General features: G+C 34.9%; 1 protein-coding gene across 54 annotated transcripts in view, besides 2 other annotated features; it reads right to left on the reverse strand.

The window, feature by feature from the left end:
- The window catches only part of CAMK2D (calcium/calmodulin dependent protein kinase II delta), a 310,707-nt gene that overhangs the window by 80,410 nt on the left and 208,014 nt on the right, over positions 1-22,283 (reverse strand). For 34 of the 54 annotated variants that reach the window (NM_001321576.2, NM_001321574.2, NM_001396967.1 and 31 more), the window contains 3 exons: positions 20,590-20,655; positions 17,216-17,288; positions 5,900-6,002 (listed from right to left, as the gene is read on the reverse strand). In NM_001321576.2, the coding sequence (NP_001308505.1) occupies positions 5,900-6,002; positions 17,216-17,288; positions 20,590-20,655 (242 nt within the window). Of the gene's footprint in view, positions 1-5,899; positions 6,003-16,202; positions 16,276-17,215; positions 17,289-20,589; positions 20,656-22,283 lie in introns of those variants that run through there. The other 20 variants (NM_001321577.2, XM_017008674.3, NM_001399855.1 and 17 more) reach the window with 4 other exon arrangements.
- Positions 16,202-16,371: a silencer, noted in NCBI's record as "silent region_15644". NCBI's record gives its function as "represses an Ori minimal core promoter by ATAC-STARR-seq in GM12878 lymphoblastoid cells {active_cell/tissue: GM12878}" and the evidence as "EXISTENCE:reporter gene assay evidence [ECO:0000049][PMID:35858748]".
- Positions 16,382-16,471: a silencer, noted in NCBI's record as "silent region_15645". NCBI's record gives its function as "represses an Ori minimal core promoter by ATAC-STARR-seq in GM12878 lymphoblastoid cells {active_cell/tissue: GM12878}" and the evidence as "EXISTENCE:reporter gene assay evidence [ECO:0000049][PMID:35858748]".

The raw sequence follows: 22,283 nt of genomic DNA on the forward strand, positions 1-22,283 counted from the left end.
GTGTAGACTTTCTCTTTATAGAAATATCAACACTAGTATGCCCTGCCCTGTAACTCATTTGAAAAAAAATACATCTTTTTTTCCAGATATGAAGGCCAATCTACTATGCTGCAAAGTCACTGTGTATACTTAAGGCCACTTTTGGTTAGCAATTCTTATTGTCCTTTATGTATATGGGAGTTAAAACTACACCTGAAAAGAAATATGGAGAAGAACTCACCAGGAGAAGATATAAGTCGAAAATATATCACAGAGCTCACTGTGTACTGTTAAATAATCAGTATGTACTTGTAACTGGCAACTAAAGAGAAGATGCAGGAATATTCAGATGAATCACTACTGAACAAGTATCAACTAGACATTCGACTTAAGAAGGGATGTGGTAAGAAAAACTAGATGGGGAAAGAAAACTTCATATTATACATATTGGTATAGAATTCAATAAGTTACACTTAGAAACAATTTATAGCTAGAATCTAGAGTAAAATATTTATTTCTGAAAATAACAGTTTTTTAAATAAAAATGTTTACTTGAAACATACTAAAAATAACTATCCTCATTTGGAAGTTTTCTTTAAAAGCACAAATAAACTAAAAAAAACTTTTTAAAAGTATATATAATGGAATTTCTCCAACCACAGATCACTGATGAAACACACTGTATACTTATTGAAATGCAAAGTGTCCAAGAAAGAAACTTTTTCCCCATTTCTGTGACAAATTTATACTTATTAAGTACAAACAACATGCAAAGAGGTATTAAAAGACAATATATACAACACAGTTACTTCTCTGAACAAAAAAGAAAATGAGGAAAAAAACTTTGCACTTAATCTTTTTTCTTTTCTATTACCATTCTTCTTTTTCTGTTTGTTTTGGGGGAAGATTGGATAGACAATGAGAAGGGATTCCAAGAAAAGACCTGTATGTTGCAATTTAAGCTTCAAATGGACCCTGGGTAATCCATCTGTACCTCAAACTCGACTTGAAATAAATATTTGGTTGGTAGTTGTGAGGTACAGAGAATTACTGAGCAATAATGGTGGTTCCACTGCCTAAAGCTTGAAGATTTCCTCAAGGAGTGATATGCACTCTGTGAATTCCAAGGTAGAGATGGACACAATTGTTTTAAAGAGTTTGCCAGCACTTCTGTCCCCTCCACTCTCACCATCCTTCTCCAACTTCTCTAGAGTTGACAGGCAATGAGACTCCAGTGAGAAATCGATGCTAATGTCCAGATTACATCCAATGTTCTTAGTGTGCACTTTCAGATCCTTTATCATCCGGCTACACTTCATTCATTCAACATGATTTCATTCTCCTTCTGAGCCCTTGACCTGACTAATCTCTTTAAGGTCTTTTAAAAATGGCCTTCTCAGTGTCACCCTTGATACTACTTTTTCTGTTCCTTGAATCCTCAATATTTTTTCTCTACCTCTTTTCTAACAGAGAGTGGCTCTAAGTTATTTCCATCTTAGAGCTCTCCTTAGTTACCTACAGTTCTCGGTGGTCCCTTCTCACCCTGAATTTCAATGACTCTTTTATATACAATCTGTACTCTTCTGTCTAAATCAGTAAACTTTAATAATGTATGATTTCAATAACTTAGAATACATGGCCAGAAGTACGAAATGTTAACAATACCTCTCCTAAGCTTCCCTAAGATAGGGAAGTAAGTTACTATGTGAGGAAGAAATGAAAAGATCATTTAAAATATAAATTATTACAAACCTCTTCTGGAGACTAAAATTCTAAGAGAATACCAGCATGCTCATTCTTATTTAGTTACAACCATCATTTGAGCAGTCAATGGGGTCCTTACCCCAAGAATATTGAAGCATATATCTAAATGCATGGACGTTAGGAAAGAATGTACGGTACAATGTGACCTCATAAATACAGACATATGGGGGGTAAAATAGAGAAGACCTTCTCTGTGGGAAATTAAACTTGCAAGAATCTAGGATTATCATACTACATGCCATCAATAGAAAAAGTAATGAGAGCTTGCCTTTTTTAGGGATAGCATATGTTTCTTACTTTGAAAAACCAATAAGAAAATCAAAATAGATAACACAAAGAGAAAAGAGAATTACTGACTGTTGGAAATGTATCCATTGTAACACATTGGCATAAAAAGAACCTTAATATCATAAAAAAGAGACATAACAGCAACAAAGCAAAATAATTCTTCCATGAACCAAGATCTTGGTAGTTATCTTTTTTTTTTCTAGCAGCAACAAAATGCTAGAAATGTATTGCAAATAACATGTCCAGTTCCATAAGAGAAACAGAATATATTTGAATATTTCTTTTTGGTAAATTTTCTAGCCATCTTATCAAGTATAGTGACAGGGTGTTTACTTCTACCAGTTTTGGCTAGTATTCCAACAGACCAGACTAGAAAATGAAAAGTAAATATGGGAAAAAACAAACAAGTTGGGACTTGAAAAATGATAATTAAAAAAAAAACAATAAACAGCTTCCATAATGCTTTGTATTATCTATTATGTTGTTTCGTATACATACTATGTTTTTTCTTATTTGTAATGGACCTCGTATATTTATTAAAATAAAATTATGTAAAAGCCTGAAGCTCTGGTATTCCACATAATGAAGAAAGAGTCCTGCTCTTTATCAAAATTAAAATAACAAAGCTTTTCCTCCATAAACACTGATATTACATTTTGAAAGATAAAATTAATCAGTAAAAATATATGGGACTATAATGGCAGATCATAATGAATAAACATCAAAACAGGTCATTCATTATTAAAACATGCCTTTACTCCTAATACTTAAAATATATCTGGCAGCTCATCTGAAAGAAACGTAGAACACCACATCTCCTTTTTTCTCAGATTACCATGAAGATTCGCTTGAACTTGAGAAAAGAAAAAGAAAGAGAAAAAAGAAGTATATTCTCCCAAGTTTAGACACTCTGTTTTTCTGTACTTCTGAAATACTGAATTGCCTTAGAACTTAAGATGTTGCTTCTTTTAAAAGTTATTACTCTAACAGGTACCTTAACAATAACTTAATTGCTGATAGCACCATGCTGATGAAGTGGAAATTTTATTGCTGAGCTGTCACTGCTTCTTTGGGACCAGCTTGTTTTTAGAAATCAGTAACAATTTGAAAATCTATGTACTTTTATTTGGATGCTATTGCTTTTACTGACCTGATATTCAGTCCTCTACTCACTGATTCACTAAACAACTCTCACTGAATATGCAAAGAATTATGTCATTGTTTCACACCAAGACAATTTTGAAAACTTATTGAACATCCTTTATAGCTCAATCAAGTTTCTATGGACTATTTCACTCAATCTTATAACAGTCCTGTGAAGAAGTGTTTATTATCCCATTTACAAAGAGGATAGTGACCTCACAGATTTAAAGTGACTTGCTCAATATCATACAGCTGTTAAGAATCAGAGCCAAGATATAAATTCATATATTCTGATTCATAAAGTAAAATTTTTTCCACTACACATAGCCCTGCTCTCAAACTATATGTGTCATAGCAGAGGAGATAAAACATTAAGCTCAAAAACAGACGAGATTTAAGGAGCTTGATTCCAACATTCTTGTAATCATCAAACATAGCTGCTGATGCTAATTTGAGCCTCAGACCTGATAACAAAGGCTTGTCTTATTCCTGATATCCTATCATCATCTTTACCAATTTCTGGCAATTATATCCCTGGGCCTAAGTTCCCATTTTTGTATCCTGCCTCATACCCCAAGTCTCTCATGAAGTGGGGTCCTGCTTTGCTCTACACAGGACTCGAGTCCTGTCTTTGAACCCAATGTCTGGGACTTTCATGTTTCCTAAACAGATTCCCTTAGAGTTCATATTTCCTGTCTGATCTGTATGTTATTTGGAACTTGCTTGCTCCTACACCCTCCCTAGTCAACGCTATCATCATGCATAATTTGAACGATTGTTTTAGTCTAACTGGGTCCTTGCTTGCAGATTAACTATGCTTAAATCATCTTCTATACTTCTACTGGAATCATTATTAAACAACATACACCCAGTTATGTCCCTCTCTTCTAAAAATGTTTCACCAGATCCCAAAATCTCTAAGGTGAAATCCAAATCCTTCAAAAAAACATAAAATCATTTCCTGCCTCATTAACTACTACTCACTCGAGTATACTTTAGCTTTATCAAACTTCTTGTTTTACTGTAATAGAAAAAATAGTTTCATGCCTCTGAGCCTTTCCATGTGCAGATCCCTCTGTCTGGAATGCCTTAATCTTCTTGCATGACAGTGAGCAAAGTCCCATTCATCCTTTAGGCAACCATAAGTGTTAAGGCAATTATTGAACCTCTCTCCAGAGGCAGGTTTTTGTACTTCCTGTCTTGTGTTCCCACAGCACCTCATACATTCCTATGTTAAGATACTTCCACCCTGAATGGTAAATAGTTATAGATACAAAAGCCTTAGCTCCTCCAGGGTCAGGACTTCCTACTTAATTTATGTATCTCTAGTATTTGCTTTGCCCATCTCTGTGATAGCCCCACTACTTCCTGTTCAACCCTTAACTCCTGTTACAATATATTCTTTCTGTGTTAATTGTACTCTTTTCCAGGATACAGAGATCATCTGAATCTCTAATTTACAGACCTAATCTAGGCCCTACCTTCGTTCAGTTTGCAGTTAATGGGTACAAGCTTATTAAAAAGTTAAAATATTATAAACAGAATGACAAGTTTGGAGGTATTAAATTCATCTAGGATTGGAGGGTAAAAAGATAATGTAAAAGATAATATTAAACATGAGAGAGACTTCAACCAAGAATAACTGTCAGGTACTACTGAAAAAGGACAGGCAGCAGGAACTGAGGTCCTGCATTAGGCTGCCAGGGAGGCTTGGCACACCCTCCACTCCCAGTAACAGCTGGGGCAGAAAAGGGAGATGTGGTGAATCCTGGGAGCCATATGTACATCTTGGGAGATGTGTACATTAGGGACTCAGAAAAGTATTTGCATATAAAACAAAGAAATAGCATGTTTTTAGTCCTCTATTTGTTGTTGTTGCTCAGAGGAAAATAAATCAGAAATGAAGGGCATTAAAACAATTATCTAACCTCAACACACCGAAAGTCAGAAGACAAGACAGGCTTGGGGAGAGGTTATATTTTTGGAACTATACATGGGAAGTGGGTTGGATATTGGAAAATGGCAGAGAGAGGCATATGAAAATTAATGAGTAAATAATTTATTCAGACTGAATATTGAAACAAAACATAAGTCTGGTTAGAAATACTATAATTTAAATTTATTTAGAGTTAATTTCTTCCTTAATTGTAAAGAAGCAGAAATTTCATCATATAAAAATTTCTAAATTATCAGAATTTTTGAGAGGAAACTGGCATGTTGAAGACATACAAAATAACTAAGGTGAAATATACACATAAATAGATGCTTCATAATTTTTAAACAATCTTTAAATCATAAATCATAAAGTATTATATGTGAAATATCCTGTGTTTCTTGAGCATCTACTATTTACACAGCAGTTTTTGGCATCATATGAGGTTGTATGCAAACAATCAACTTTCTTTCAAATAAAAAAAGTACTCTTTGAATGTTGTAATCCTCTAATTAATGCTTACTAAATAATGTACTTTCTCAATCATCCTTTGAAGAAAAAAGTGTATGTCTTCTTGTTCTCCCATTAATATTTTCCCTTGAATTATTTCTAGATTATATAACCTTTTATGTCAACAAAATTAAATGCTTATAAAGGCACAATATCTAAAAATTAGTCAAATTGTTATTAGGATGAAGTTTTCCATTTTATTTTCACTAGGAAGTGGGATTAGGAGCCAGAATTCAGAAGCCAGAAGACTATAGGTAGCATGAAGGAGGGGGCCCTACTCACCAAACCACGCCTGCTGGTCCCCTTGAACTTCTATGGCTAAGCCAAAGTCTGCCAATTTCACAGCTGCTCCCTTGGATTTGCTAGCTAAAAGCAAATTCTCAGGCTTTATTTAGAAAGAAAAAAAAAGAGACTGAAGTGAGAACCTATTTTAAGCGACTATTCAAAACTAACAACATTTTACAGGATTAGGGGGAAAAAATTCATGCACTGTCATCTTTCCTGGAGACTGCCATTCCTAAATCCCAGGGAAAATACAGTTAGAAAATGATTAAATATTATCATGTGTGCAGGCTTCAGACAGATGCATAACTGTCCTAGAGAGATACTGGGTAGAAGAGAGAATACACTTGGGGAGGGATCAAATGAATGAGAGCACCTGTCTTGACCTGCTCACATGTTTCCAAGGACTGCTCAGGATTCAGACTTGGCCACGGACATTGACTTAGAAGCCTAACAGAGCAGACATTTTCAGCAGAAGGAAACTTGGCAAAATAATAACAAGAGTTGGACCAATCTACAGACATTTGGCAAATGAAACTGTGCAAATTAAATCCTAGTTAACTTCAAGAGTTTGGACCCAAATGTAGTGATTTTGATTCCTCAATGTTTCCAAACAATTTTGGTACAAATTTTGGAGACTTACTCTGAATTATGTATTAAAATTGCTGTCTTTAAGAATCTGTTTATTCTTAAAGGCAGAAAGAGTATACTACTATTTGCCAAATGTTATAGTCAGCTTTTTTTTTTCTTTATAAGCCAGCTTTTAAAACATAATTTACATTTCTTCAAAGCGTGATTCAGAGCATTACTTATATATTTATTTTTCCATCTCAGAGTACTATGAGAAAGATATATTTTTATTTTCTTGGGTACTTATCATTATGCAAGGGCTGATAACTCAGTCTTGGAATAAGGCTGTGTCTATACCACTGTTTCCCAACCAATGCATCAAGACACATCAGTACTTTGAAAATAAGCACCAGGGAACAGTCTTCAATTTCCATGAATCGCCTTTGTGGATTTTAAGAAATGAAGATGATCAGGAAAAGGAGACTGATTAATATATACAGTTAAGGATATACAACCCCAAACTCGATAAATATATTGGGTTAGAATGTATATGGGAGAGTGGTTTGGGGACAAAACCCAGCAAATTTAGAGGTGTGTCTCAGACTGAAAAAAGTTGGGAAACAATGGACTCTACAAATGCCAAAACGATTGTCTGAAAATCTAAAAATTCAGTCAATCAAATTCATTTTGTTTATATGTTAATAAACAAGTAATGTCATGCTTTAAAAATCAAATTGGCTAAATTTTTCCCACTGAATTTGTCAATTCTGTTGGTAGTTTTGACCTTGTGTAAACACAGCCTAAACCAGTATCTAATTTATTAATTAAGCCAGCCATGCAAATTAGCAAAGACCCATAACCAGAACTTGGAAGAAATTAGGTTAAATCTACAAGAAATTAGAGTGTTGGCGAGTAAGTTTTAATCAAGTACCAGACTTCTTCAGGCTATTGTTGCTCACTGCCATCAGATTCATCGCTATTATGACGACCGGTAAATGTGAGAAAACTTTTCTAATTTTGTGGGGCTGATAGGGATTTTTAACCACCTCAACACTAAATACGTAATTTAATTTGGAGTATGGGATAAAGATATCTCAAGAATATAAAAGACTTTTATGCTGAAATGACTTTTAGTAAAACCTAACACTTGAAATTATTTGGAACTTTATCAATATACTATAGTATCTACACATGTTAAATTATTTTAATTTGACATTTTATTTTTGCAATGAAAATTTATGGTCTACCACATTCATGCATTTCCTAATCTGATCAAGAAGTTAAGTTCCAACTATTAACTCATGGAATAATTAACTTGGAAAAAGCTCATCAAACTGTAAGCAATGGTTGATTCTAATTCTTTCTTCACTTTCAAAAGCACTGGCATGTCAGAGATTTCTGTTAATACACATCTGTCCTAATTTGTTAACCACAGACTCATTCAAAAAAAGAGTTCCAATCACTTTAGAAATCACATTTTAGGTGTTTGAAGTCAGGTGATAAGTTTGTTGAGCAACTGTCAGCGTAACTGGTAAATAACCTTTTAAAAAATTGAGTGTGTTTTCACTCTTATCACTAAATGAAAAAGCTGTTGGGCAGGGCTTGTGTGCATTGTGCCTCAAGCACCAAGTATCTGCCGATTCAGAAGAAATGGAACATCTTAGAGTTTTATCATGCATATCCTCTGAATGACTGGGGCAAATACTCATAACTAACGAAGACCTCACTGTAGGGCCTTTGTGAGTCATCCAGAAAATAGTAAATCCATCTGGACCAGAGTTGCACCTTATACTCATGAAGACTGTTCAGCTGCAGTTATGTAGAAGAAAAGGCAGGGTTATTTGAAGGTGACTGTGTAGATGTAACAATTAAGAGACTAACATGATTTCATGTTTATGTATATCTTTAGGCAAACCTAAAATACAGAATTATATAACGAAAATGTAAAAATTAGGATGATTACTAAAATTTAGGCTCTAAAATGAAATTATATAATGAAAACTAAAAAATTTAGGATGATGAGTTTAAGGGATTATTCACTTTTTAATATTTCATCACAAGATTGCTTTAAAGGGCAGCTCCAATGAAACATTAAAAATAATCACACAAGTTTGATTTCTATATAACTGTTTGGTATATATTAGTTTGAATAATCCTCCTATCATGTTCTGTGATTGTGTGGGAGGCTTAATCACTAAGACTTTCTAAAGCAACATTTTAATCAGGGCAAGCACATTTATTCTAATTTTCCTGAATTACTACCACTCATATAGCTTCCAAGTTAAAAATATATTGTACTACAAAATTTTGTTGACAAGGTTAAATTCTGAATGCCTACAGAAAGGAAGATAATTTGCAAATATAGTTTACCCAAGCTGAAAGGGTAGTATTTCTCACCTAATTAATGATTACCTCCTTAGACAGGAGCACCACTACACAATTATTTGCTACTATTCCACTATTTTGATTTTCTATTTTCTAACACGAATCAGACAGGTGAGATCAGAAACCCAGGTCTTCTAATGTAGCTAGCTGACTATGGACCACAGCATTGTAAGAGAAACAGGCAGGGTGATGATCTAGAAAGAATGCGAAGACCTGGGTTCATGTCCTGGCCCTAACTGTTATTACCTATATGGACTTGGGCAACTCACAAATGCCTGGAGCTAATTAATTAGTTCCTTAATCTCTCAAATGAACATTATAAGGGTACTAAATTATATCTCACAACAGTTTCTATGAAACAATAAAATCACACTGGATTTTATCATAGGAGCTCTGTCCTCTGTGGTGACAACATACACATTAGTGATTAGCTACTACATTCCAGTGCAGCTGGTCATTTCAATGTGCAGAACATTTAATATTTGTAACTTGAGGAATGTCTTTTTTAATGATGCCAACTTAATGCAATCTATTATGTTACTCTTTATATATTGAGAGGATCTTTAGATTCTTATAATGCAATCCCTTTCTAGGTTGGTTTTTAAATAGAGTGCACAGACATTCTTACACATAGGTTCCTTCCCCACCCCCACTGCTTCCTAATGATGCAGGATTTTCCATGACATCTGGTCTCAGTGTCAACAACCATTTATAGCATATCAGCTGTAATGAGCAGCAACTGTTTCCAAGTTTTGTTCTGTACTTTCATATGAATACAATGGCAATTTCTTTCAATATGATTCAAAGTTTTCTTGAAACTGTTCAAATGACTCAAAGTACATAGGCAGGTTGATGGAATCACTTTCAGAACTGGAAGAGACTTGGGAGATAAAATAACTCAAACCTTTCCGTTTCTACATGAGGTAGGGAGGCCCAAAAAGATGAAGCTGAGACCTGAAGCTAGATTTTCTAATTCCTTCCTTTTAAAGACGTGATACTAAAGAAGCTCCACCAATTGTATAAAAAGTTATTTTTAAAAGGTAGTCCATTCAGCAGATGTTTTTAGAAGAATTTGAAGTACTCAAAAATATTTACTACCCATATCCAAAACTTATGAAAAAAACATAGTTTTAACCTTGCTTTACCAATTATCATAATCTTTATTAATAAATTGATTTGGCAAAGGCAATAGCCTTTAGCATTAACCATATCAGGCTTTTATTTGTGCACATCTAGAAGATGTGCCATCTAAAAGACTCAACCATTAGGAATATATATGTAAAATCATGTGTGTTTTACTTGTTTTTAAATTTTTGAATATTATAAAAAGAGCAAATTACTAATTTTATTATCCCATATTATTTAATTCTTAAATTCCTTTGGATATTATTTTTTAAGGACTAAAAATTTGTCTTTTAAAATTTCTTTCCTCTATTGGAGAATCTCACTCTTTTAACAGAAAACCATCCTCTGCTTGGCATGTTTTCTGTCACTTATCTTTTGCCAAAGAAGGTGCAAATGAAGCTCCCCAATATAAACTATTTCTTTTTTTTTTAGTTTTGCATGAATTGAAAAGCTTGAATGTCAAGCTCACTTGTCTCATTTGTATACATGGTACAAGGGATTTTAGCTTTTATTTTTGTGTGGAATTAATGCCTGAATTCATGTACTTAGCACAAGGAGTTTCTAGCAGATGTATGTGCTATAAGTTTGCAATTAGGAAGTACTCTTTCTATTGCTATGCATATATGAGCAAGTTCATAAGAATCCTTCTGTATTCCATTCCTGTTTATTCATTTACTTCCACATTATCAGCACACACTGCTGGGTAGACTGAAAGAACCAGAGTGTAACTAACTGCAGTGGGAGAGTGCCAATTACCCACAGCTTCTCCACTGCCTGACAAACACTAGGCACTCAACAAAGAAATACTGGAATGGCTAAATGAATTATTAAATTTATCAAATACATACTTTGTTTCAAAAATATCTAAATATACATACACAGATGATGTGTTCCTTAAACTTTTATCTAAACATAGCTCTGAGAAAAGTATAATACTTGTGATTTTATAATTATCCAAAATATAAATTTCACAGGTTGATATATCTACTACCCATGGTTAACAAGAATTTACTGGCCGGGCGCTGTGGCTCGTGCGTGTAATCCCAGCACTTTGGGAGGCCGAGACGGGCGGATCACGAGGTCAGGAGATCAACACCATCCTGGCTAACACAGTGAAACCCTGTTTCTACTAAAAATACAAAAAATTAATCGGGCATGGTGGCGGGCGCCTGTAGTCCCAGCTACTCGGGAGGCTGAGGCAGGAGAATGGCATGAACCAGGGAGGCGGAGCTTGCAGTGAGCTGAGATCGCGCCACTGCCCTCCAGCCTGGGCAACAGAGCGAGATTCCGTCTCAAAAAAAAAAAAAAAATTTACTAAGTACTTCTCATCTCCCCCCTTCCCTGAAAACTAATTCCTTTCTACTTTGGTCATAAATTTAATTTATTCCTATGAAACAGCCTTAAAGTTCCCATCACATCTCCAAATTCTCTTCATTAAAATCTCTCTCTTTCTCTCTCTCTCATATTCATCTATCCATCCGTCCAATGACATTTCCATTAAGTAATGTTCTTCTGAATAGGGGCTAATAGTAAAGGCAGCATTCTCTGCCGAGGCAATTCATAGGGTGTTAATTTGTTGCTAAAAGATTCAGTTGTGTGTATAAAGCCTCCTATCCAGATTGTTGTTCATGAAATAGTTTAGTAACCATTTCGGGTACATTTGAACTGCAGAAATCTTACTACCTTGTTTCAAACACAGTTATTTGAAAAAGCATAGCTTTATAACTATCTCCTTTACTTATTCTGTCAACTAAGTCATAGAAATTGTATTCTCCAGGTTCTTAAATGAGAAAATATATCTGATCTGACATTCCTTTATTTCTTGTGACATTAAAAATTGTCATTTGTTACTGCAACCTCACTTTGACCTAATATTTTTCTGAATGCAGTACTTGTCTGAGGTACTTCCTCCTTTCTGGGAAGAACATCATCAATATGCTTTTCACATATGTATATATATTGATTTTTTTTTTTTTTTTGTAGGGATGGGGGGTCTTGCTATGTTGCGCAGGCTGGTATTGAACTCCTGGCCTCAAGCAATCCTCTTGCCTCAGTCTCCCAAAGTGATTGGATTACAGGCATAAGCCACTGCACCGGGCCTACATACATATTTTTACATGATCCTTAATTCAATGGCCAGCAGGGTTTCATGCACACAAGGTCTGTTCTTGTTTTGCTCAGTAATGTATGCTCACATTTAAAATGATGCCTTCGTGGTTCCTGAAGGAATGTTTGATGAATATTCATTCTTCTCTTTTTGTATTTGAACTTTAAACCACCAATTCACAAATATCCAACACTGAGTTACAGCACTCAGCTCTTCATAAAGAATCTATCTATCTATCAAGTTTATTTATTTATTTATTTATTTATTTATTTATTTATTTTTGAGACAGAGTCTCGCTCTGTTGCCCAGGCTGGAATGCAGTGGGGCGATCTCTGCTCACTGCAAGCTCCGCCTCCTGGGTTCATGCCATTCTCCTGCCTCAGCCTCCCGAGTAGCTGGGACTATAGGCGCCCGCCACCACGCCCCGCTAATTTTTTGTATTTTTAGTAGTGACGGGGTTTCACCATGTTAGCCGGGATGGTCTCGATCTCCTGACCTCATGATCCACCCGCCTTAAGCACCCAATACTAATTGTCTTCATGTGGCAATTACTAATTAAATGTGGCAAATGCATTTTATTCTTCTTTGTCTCGTTTTCCAAAGGCTGTGGTCAATGCTACCTTACTGATTTTCTAAATGAAAAAGTTTTACTTCATACACCTGTCTACTACCAGATTGTACTGCCCCCTACTCTACATTATATCTTATTTTCTTTATTCCCAATGACACAGATTTTGTTTATCTCTGGAAGACCCATAGGCAGGACTATTTTAACCTTTTGATTCACTAAACTTAGAACCATTTCCACAAATTATTGTGGATGTTGCTAGCAAAATTATTTTCCTATCGTTTTGACTCATTCTTTGGTCTCTTTACAGGCTTTTAATTCATCCAACCAACTAAATTGAGAAGTAGTAGTTATTAAGCATGCAGACTTGGAATCAAATTTCTTAGGCACCAATCATATTTTACTAGTTGAGTGATCTTAAGTTCTTTCATTTGTGGTTGCTAAATTTTCGTTTACATACTATGAGGATGATCAGAGCACCTTCCTCATAAAGTTGTTCTGAAGATTTGTATGATAAGACAGCACAGGGTACATGGTAACTGCTTGATAAATGGCATCTTTTACCATTTTGCTTATTAAGACCCTGACTTGATCCAAACGCTCCCAAAGACTGCAGTCCTATCCCTGAACTGTACTGTACTGTTTATCACCACCACTAGATCCTCCTAATATTATCTAGATCTACATTAATTGGCCTGCCACTGGACACACCTCAGACAAAAGGCTGTGGTCCATGTATCCACTAGGTTCTGCCTGGTGCCGATGGATGTACCTTCTTGATGCTGATATCCCACCACCCTGACTCTTCTCCTATTGCTTGTTTCAGGGACATCCTGAAATTGCCTGTTGTACCTCAGTCTTGATTATAGGTCCTCATAATTTCCCACTGTCTAATGAGCCCCAGTGAGCAGCAGTTATTCAACTAAATAGTGATCTTTATTCTGAAGATATACTTATCTTCTTTATGTTATTCAAATATTAATGAACACTTAATAAGCTATTTTACTGAATGCTGCCTTTTATATTATAGATGTACTTTTGGTTGACCTTCATTCATTTCTAAATTGAAGGAATATGCTGCAGGTATTGGCCAGGTATAAGCCCCTACGTTAGGTACTGTGGAGTATCGCATTACGTTAAACAGCTATGGTTCCAGAGGGCTTATATACAAATTGTACAGCACTTATATCCTTATAGGTGCTGTTGATCATGATAAACATGACATTTCCTGTGTTTCTTTTTCTCACTGATGTGGACAAATTAAACTATGTGCATCAAACATTTCTATCGCACATCAATTAACATATTAATTAGTATATGGACACAAAAATAAATAGCATAGGAATAGTAAAGGCAAGTTTTTGTTTAAGGCCTGGTAATAAAAAATTTCAGCACTTGATCTTTTTAACTTTACTATATTGGTAAACATGCTATCACAAGCAATATATTTATCAGAGTATACATCATGGGTATAAAAGGCACAAAACAAAGGCAGGGATTTGGCACGTTCAAGAGGTTCATCAACTGCCTCTAATGCACGTGTTTTGAACTCTCTCAGTGTGTTTATGAAATGGCCTACTGAAGCAAGCACTGAGAACCAGACTCAACTGAAATCCATCCAAGTCAGCAATTTGACACAAACTAAGACAACAACTAAAAAAATTATAACAAGCTCTCTCAAAAGCTCATTTCTGTCCTTTCCCAGAATCAGAATAAGAATGGAGAGCAAAAGTACTTTCCCTGCCTTAAAGAAATCTGGTGGGGAATGCAGCAAGTTATTTCTTTTGCTAGTAAGCCTCCCTAAAAATCATCTGCTTAAGTTTTTAATTAGTGACGTTAGCTCATACGTCAGAGAATATATTTTTCTTCACAGCCCATGTCCTATTAAAGTTCCAGTCTTTGAAGTGCTCACCTGATTCCAGATGTTTAGAGAAGTCCTGTATTACGATTCCACAAAAAATATCTTTAAAGTTATGGAAGAGGATTCACATTTTTTAATACTTGGCTTTTAAAGTCCACTTATGGTTATATAACATGGAGTAAAATGTTTCAAATAATAAATTTATAGAAGTGTCTGAAAAAAAATTGCACAAATGATGTGCATGTTCATATATGTTCACTTAAAAGGAAAGTAGTGCTGTGGGTTCTGAGAGGTAACAAAAGGGGCTCTGTCTGTAAATGGCCAGTAAAGAATTTTTGAGGTGACTGTAAAATACATGAATTTTCAAAGAAACACACTGCTTTTGCTTTATACTAATGGGTACATTTGGTAAGTGTTAGCAGATATACAGTCCGATCTTGGCTCTTCAGAAGAAAATGCCCTTAACCATACCTTTGCTTTTGATATTTAAAACTCTCAGAATTAAATGAAATCAAAAGATTGCAGAAAACTAAGGCAATGTTTTGCTTATAAATCACATCTTCATGTAATTGGTTTAGAGATATAGTCTTCTAGAACATTAAGTGACTGGAAATATGGATTTATAATTTTTTTTATAACCAGAAAAGTCTGCACGTGAGAAATAAGTCTAGGTCCTCTCACTAAACACACATAGTTTTAGACATTCTAAATTATCCTTTGTCACCTTTGTCCTAATGCCTAGAAAATGCTGAGTTTGAAAGAATCAAAACTATATACAGTGCTCACATTTACTATTTTACTCATCCAGTAGTTTTTCTTTTCGATTTCTAGGCTTCACTATTTTTCTGAAATTCCACAGGTAAAACTAGAGTGCTGGGAAATGGAGACGGAAAATTAATGAAAAAGTACTCCCCTTGTGAGCTATTTCATTTCTAAATGATCTAAAAATTCTCTGTCCTCAAGGGTATCAGAAGCTGAGTGAAGTCTTAAGGGTATCAGTAGGCATTCAAATGAGAATATGTATATAGGGATATCCATATATATTTGCTACATAAATATTATTTGATGATTAAATTTGTTTTGCTTTCTTTACATCTGTAGTTTTAGAAGACACTATTATCTTGGTCTTTAGGAATATAAATAAATAAAAAACTAAGAGGCCTCAGTGTCCTCAGAATTCCTAGGACTAATGTTAAGGGAAAGAGAATGTCAGAATTCAAAATGAGGTTCTTTAGCACATAATCGTTTAGGCTAAAACTTCACCTAATAACTTTATCTCTACACACTTTATAATTTTACTAAGTATTTACATAATATTGGGTATATATCACATGAATATAAAATGTTTGATCAATGTACACAGAACAAATTTAGAGTGAAGATCATCAAACCCTACTGAAAGTCACATTAATGCTATATCCATCCTTACAAGGAAAGAAATATAGCATCCTATTTATTGTTAATGTTGGGAAGTTATTTCTATCTGGATAAATCAAGATTTATATGTCTCAAGTGTGTGTTAGAGATGAAATAAGAGAGACTGTGGTGAGGGAAAGTTCCTGAGTAACGTGCTGGAATAAGTCCACACAACTTTATTGCTCATATTTTTGCCTTTACAGGCATAATTGCAGCTGAACAGTCATTAGGAACTGTGTGGTGGTTTATCTTCTTCAACCGCATTACTCACCTTCAGGTCCCGATGGACCACGCCCATCTGATGGCAGTGTAGCACAGCCTCCAGGATCTGCTGAATGCAATGACTGCATGCAAACACCAGGGGGCGTGTGTTAGTTCCAAGCTTACACTCACTGTCTGTATACCCTCAGAGAGACTGGGTTAAAGTGCAGAGCTAGCAGACAACTGGGGTTGTATTGTACCACCTTCAGTCATGTAAACATATTGCTCAAGTAGAGTGACTACTACCTCAGAACAATCAGATCTTACCAGATGTGAGCCAGAATGTGGGTCCATTTGTTCTAGAAAAATCCATTTTGAAAACACTTTATGTCATTCAAGAGATCATTTCCTGGTTATAAATTCTTCCAGGAAATAAAGTGGAACACAAATATAATCTTTATAGCTGTGGTGTTCCGCCTCCACCCCGTCACATAAATTGTTTCCCTTTTCTCTCCCATTTTTCCAGTATTGTTCTAAAAGCTGTCACATTAACAGTCAGGGCACCACTAAGGTTAAATTAAGATACCTAATGAATTTTTGATAAATCATTAACTTCTTGTGCTTTAATTTAGCTGGCAATTAATATCTCTTGCCTAAGGGTTCATCAGACTCAAATGGAGCAATGCGTAACCAGTTGTTCTGCTACAGCAACCCATGGTCTCAGAACAGAAGTGGTGTTTAAAATCTACAGGCGGACATACATCACAGGCCAAGTTTATCTCCAGGCAAATGCTGGGCAATTCAAGAAAGCCTGCTCCTCAATCCCTTTTGGTAGGTAGTTTACTGCTTGGAAACTTAGCAGGTTGTATTCTTTAGTATTCTTCCCTTTTTGCTATGATGTATATTTAGCCTGTAGATGAGCAAACTGGAAGAGGCATCATGCATTATCATTTCATCATTTACTCATTTTAGAAACAAGTTGGGAAAGGCAAGGGAACCATTTTAAATACCCACCCTCTGCCCTTTCCCCAGAAAAAAAAATAAAACTGCTTTGATTCAGATTTATGGACTCCATATACTGACCTTCAGGTCCCTGTGAACTATGCCATTTAGGTGACAATGATTAACACTTTCTAGAATCTGCTGTATACAATGACTGCAAAGATACAAGGGCAGAATGGAAGGGAGAACATTTTAAAGGCACATAATCACATTGAATATGAAATAAAATGAAAGTCCCAATGAAACAAACAAACAAACAAAAATTATATTTCTTCACTTTTTTTAGCTTTACGTTGGAATCAAATAAAGCTGAATAAAGCTAATTTTGGTTCTAACAAAAATGACATCCAACATAGACTTTGTGACATGTTCAGACAAAACAATTTGAGTTGTGTTGTTTTCATTGTAAGTGTACAAATTAAATAATATGTATAAGAAGGTAAAATCTCCATATTTAGAAAGAAAAATTTATAAAGAATTCCCATAATGTTCTGGGAAAATTCTTCAGAGATATAAAATTTCCAGGTATTTCTTATACACATCTAAACTGTTTAAAATCTGAGGTCACAATTAAACAGGTGTTGAAACAAGAGGGTAAACACAGATGAAGTGGCAGGTGAAACAAGGGTCAAAAAAAATGGAGGGACACATTTACCATTTCGCCTTAGAAGCGTTGCTTTTTGTAAAGTATATAACAGGAAAACAAATGCAAGTCTCCAACAATAAAGGGAGAATTTAAAGTAAACTCATGAATAAAATAAACCCCTCTTTAGTGTAAGAATACTTTGGGGAAGAGCTAGGGAGCTTTCAAAGAATAAATAAATACAAATTTACAATCCCCTGGAGCATTGGTAATTATTAAACCCACTTCCATACACTTCAGTGAAGAAAAACTTTTGCTTCATACTATATCAAAATGCACATTTTATGCTATTCTTATTAAGGGTTCACTGATATCAAATGGGACTGCTAATTAGAGAGGAGAAATCCTTGTTTGGCACCTATAAGGTCCTGTGAACTGTCATCTGACATATAATAATGCAGAACACATCACACTGATGAATTTTGTATAAGTTCACTGTGCAATTCAAATGCAAGTACATCCTGAACTACATTTATTCATTGAAAGATGAAGCAAACATTTTAATAAGGACATTTTCAACCACTTAATGTATAAAATAATATTATTCTAAAGAAAAATCTTGAATTTAAAAAAGTAATCACCATCTGATTTATTACAATGTAAATATTTTAAAAATTGATCATGACTATGATTTTCTAGCTCTTTTATTAACAATACCACTAAAAGCGTCTCACATTCATTGCTGTTGACTACATTGTTTATTTGAGTATTGGTCATTATTTTTAAACCATAGGAATCTTTTTTCTTTTACAATAATGTTCACTTTGCACTACTCTTTAAGAATATTTCTCTTCCTGTTCTCAAACAACAAGCATAAATTATTGAATCTTGGGAATAACAGAAGATAAAGAAGTAAACAATAACACATACTAAATGGACTTCACCATTTTTTTTACTAGTGAGAATGGATTCAATTCTTAAATTTTTGAGAACTAGTAAAAAATTTTTACAATTTTTTGACAATCAAATAGCCTCTTTTGAGACAGGGTCTCACTCTGTCGCCCAGGCTGGAGTGCAGTGGCATGATCTCTGCAGCCTCCACCTCCCAGGTTCAAGTGATTCTCCTGCCTCAGCCTCCTGATTATCTGGGACTACAGGTGCATGCTGCCACACCTGGCTAAGTTTTGTATTTTCAGCAGAGACAGGGTTTCACCATGTTGCCCAGGCTGGTCTCGAACTCCTGGGCTCAAGCAATCCTCCCACCTTGGCCTCCCAAAGTTCTGGGATTATAGGAGTGGGCCACCACATCTGACTGAGAAATAGCCTCTTTATGTATTTAGAAGGGAATGTTCCTTCTCTTTGATTTTATCGGAGAGCTTTCATAAAAAATATCTTAGAGCTCTTTAGCAGTAAAAATAGTCTCTATTTTAATTTCAACCAGTATTTTTCAAACCAAGTAACAGCCTGCTTAACATAACTTTGAAGGGTAACATTAATGAAATTCCCTAGTTTAGTACCTTGATTAAAAGTATTACTGTTTCTTGGCAAGTGGCCAAATAGCTACTTCCAGAGGTTCCCCATGGCCCCTTTCAGGACCCTAATGTGGGGATTTGGGGTAAACTGAGCAAGTGATGATTCACTCATCATAGTATAAATTACACAGAATTTTCTATTTGACTTTGGCCATAAAAATTCCATTAAAAAATTAGAGCGTAGTCATGTACAGATAGATTCACAAAGTGCCATAAACAGTGCATTAAACCAAGAAGAAAAATTAGAAACTTAGAAGTGTGCCTCTGAGGGCAAGGAGGGGCTGGGAACCTTAATATCAGCTGGACATCTGTTGAGGGTCAGGCTACAATGGGATTAGCAAGCCTTGGGAAGCTCTGATGGCATTGGAGAATGGGAGCAGAGTCAATCTCTGCTCCCAAACATCTCATTTACATTGCTAATAATGAGCCAATCACTCTTGATCAGATTTTTAAAAATAAATGACAGCTACAGAATATATAAAAGTACACAGGAAAATTTACACCATGCAATCCAGTAACATCTAAGCAAGTGGTTAATGTTACTCCACTCCAAAAGTGTTGCCTTGGATAGCCTAGGAAGTTGCAAATTAGACAAAAAACTTAGCCTTTTTTAAACTTTTGTAAAGATTTTGCCAATTAACAAGATTGAAAAATTACTCTTGAACTCTCTTAAATGCCTGAATAAATATATTTCAACTCAGGGGTTCAAGGGTTTTAATGAAATTTCCAAAGAGTTAATTAGCTAATAATAGTTCCTTAAAGAGACCACTGAGACTTTTTTCAGGCTGTTTCTGTTTTCTGATTAGATATTCATTGTTCAGTAGAACTTTCTGTGATGATGAAAATGTTCTATATCTGGTCTGGCCAATTGGTAGCTACTAGACACTTGTGGCTACTAGGCAGTTGGCTAGACCAACTACATGGTTAGACCAACTGAGAAATAAATTTTTAATTTAATTTAATTTTAATTAATTGAAATTGCAATAGCCACATGTGACTACTGGCTACCACTGGGCAACCTAGAATCTATCTAGGGATTAGAGGATTTCAATCTTTGATCTCTGACTTTCACTAAAAAATATATTGCTTTAGCAGAAGTCATTCCAATTAGGTGGGGTGTTTTGGTTTGTTTTTCCTTGTTGTTTTTGATAAAATATGTAATCTAACTACAGATGCTAGATAAAAATATAGACCAGATTCATGGAGTTTTTTTTCTCTAAGAATCATCCCGGAGATCCTTAAAACATTTGTTTGTACAAACATGCATTTGTAAAGAAATATGCTGAAAAAGTATTATTTGAATGTTGAGTCTTGTATCTTGCCCAGGGCAAGTCACTTACCTGGCATCAGCTTCACTGTAGTATTCTCTTGCCACTATGTCTTCAAACAGTTCACCTCCAGTAACTCTGGGAAGATAAAAAACATAATCACTTTTAAAAAGAAGCAAAAAAAAATAAGCATCAATAGATTTGCAAATGTGTTCATATAGCTGTTTTTCTTAGATGATTTAAAAAAAATCAAAACTTTTTAAAACATGAGACAGTGTTCGTAAGTCAAATCTATACTACACTAAACATTTTTATCTTTTTTATTTGTCTATCATTAGACACATGAGGTCACAATTTTCTGTATGCCATAAATATAGTAGGCAATATCTTTCGCAGAAAATGGTTTTCATTTCAATTTTTCAAATATTAATGATATCTGACAAAATTTTGGCACAGTTTAGAAACACTTTCTGAACAAAAGGAGATGATACACATCATAGCTATTGAGTATGAGTTTCCATGTATCCTTTTGCTATTTTTGCATGTGTGCATCCTTAAACATGTATTTTTCCCCTTGAAAACACACACATAAAAATAGATGCTTTTCCCACAAAAGTGGGATCACGTGCTATATGTAAATAATTAAGTTAATTGTATTTGTCATTTTACATGAAATTATGGGCACCATGTCATATCAGAAGCATTTTCCCCTAATTTAACGTAACATAGCAATTAATAGAGATATGCATATGCGTACATACATGCGTGCACACACGTGTATGTGCATATTAGAGGGTATCTCTGAAAGAGAAATTCTTACAAGTAAAATTACTGGGTGAAAGAGTACCCACATTTAAAATTTTGTAGAGCAGACAGGGCAAATCACCTTCCAAAATGGTTGCACCCTGAAAATTGTGAAGGTGCTCACAGACCCAAATCATTACTAATAATAGTTATTATTAATAAATACAGAACACCTATTCAATTGTGGAAAAGTTAATATGAATTTCTTGGTTATTAGCGAGGTAGATCATTTTCTCATTTATCAACCATTTCTTCCTCTGCTATGATCTGGCTTGATTTTAAAAGGACATTTCATCTTTGGGGTTTAACCTTGTAAGAGCTAACATTTGCTGAGTTCTTACAATAAACCACACAGTGTACTAAGCTTTATATTAACTTATAAATCCTCACAATTGCCCGCCGAGCAATTCCCCTCCCAGTTTATTGATGAGAAAATGGAGGCCCAGAGAAGTTAAGTAACTTGCCCAAGATCACACAGCGTTTAGTGACACAGGCAGGCCATCCACTCCACAGCTCATGCCCTCAACCACTCCACAGTGCAGATTTTCCAATAATGACACTGCCAGTCTTTCCAGTTTAGAAGGCATGAGTCATTTGGAAAAGCATCAAGTAAAGGTATAGAGCTTCATGTATGAATACTATAGAGTGAGATAAAAGGATGCTAAATTAGTTTTTCTTTTTGTTCACTTGTTTGCTTTTTTGCTTTATTAAGTTCTGAAACATCATCAAAGGATAGCATGTTTTAGAGATCACCAGTTAGTATTCTCTCCCTTATTCTCCTTTCCAAAAGGAAAAGATGGGATGCTAAAAATTATAAACATGTCTGAACATTTATGCAACTTCTGCCTCTCTTAATTGCATTCTGGATACCTCAAAGTCCTTTAACGTCCGTCATTATTTCCAATTCTATTATTTTCACATATAAAATGTTTACCTAAGATTATCATATAAATCTTCATATA

The sequence above is a fragment of the Homo sapiens genome, chromosome 4 (assembly GCF_000001405.40).
Source record: "Homo sapiens chromosome 4, GRCh38.p14 Primary Assembly".
NCBI classification, from domain to species: domain Eukaryota; kingdom Metazoa; phylum Chordata; class Mammalia; order Primates; family Hominidae; genus Homo; species Homo sapiens.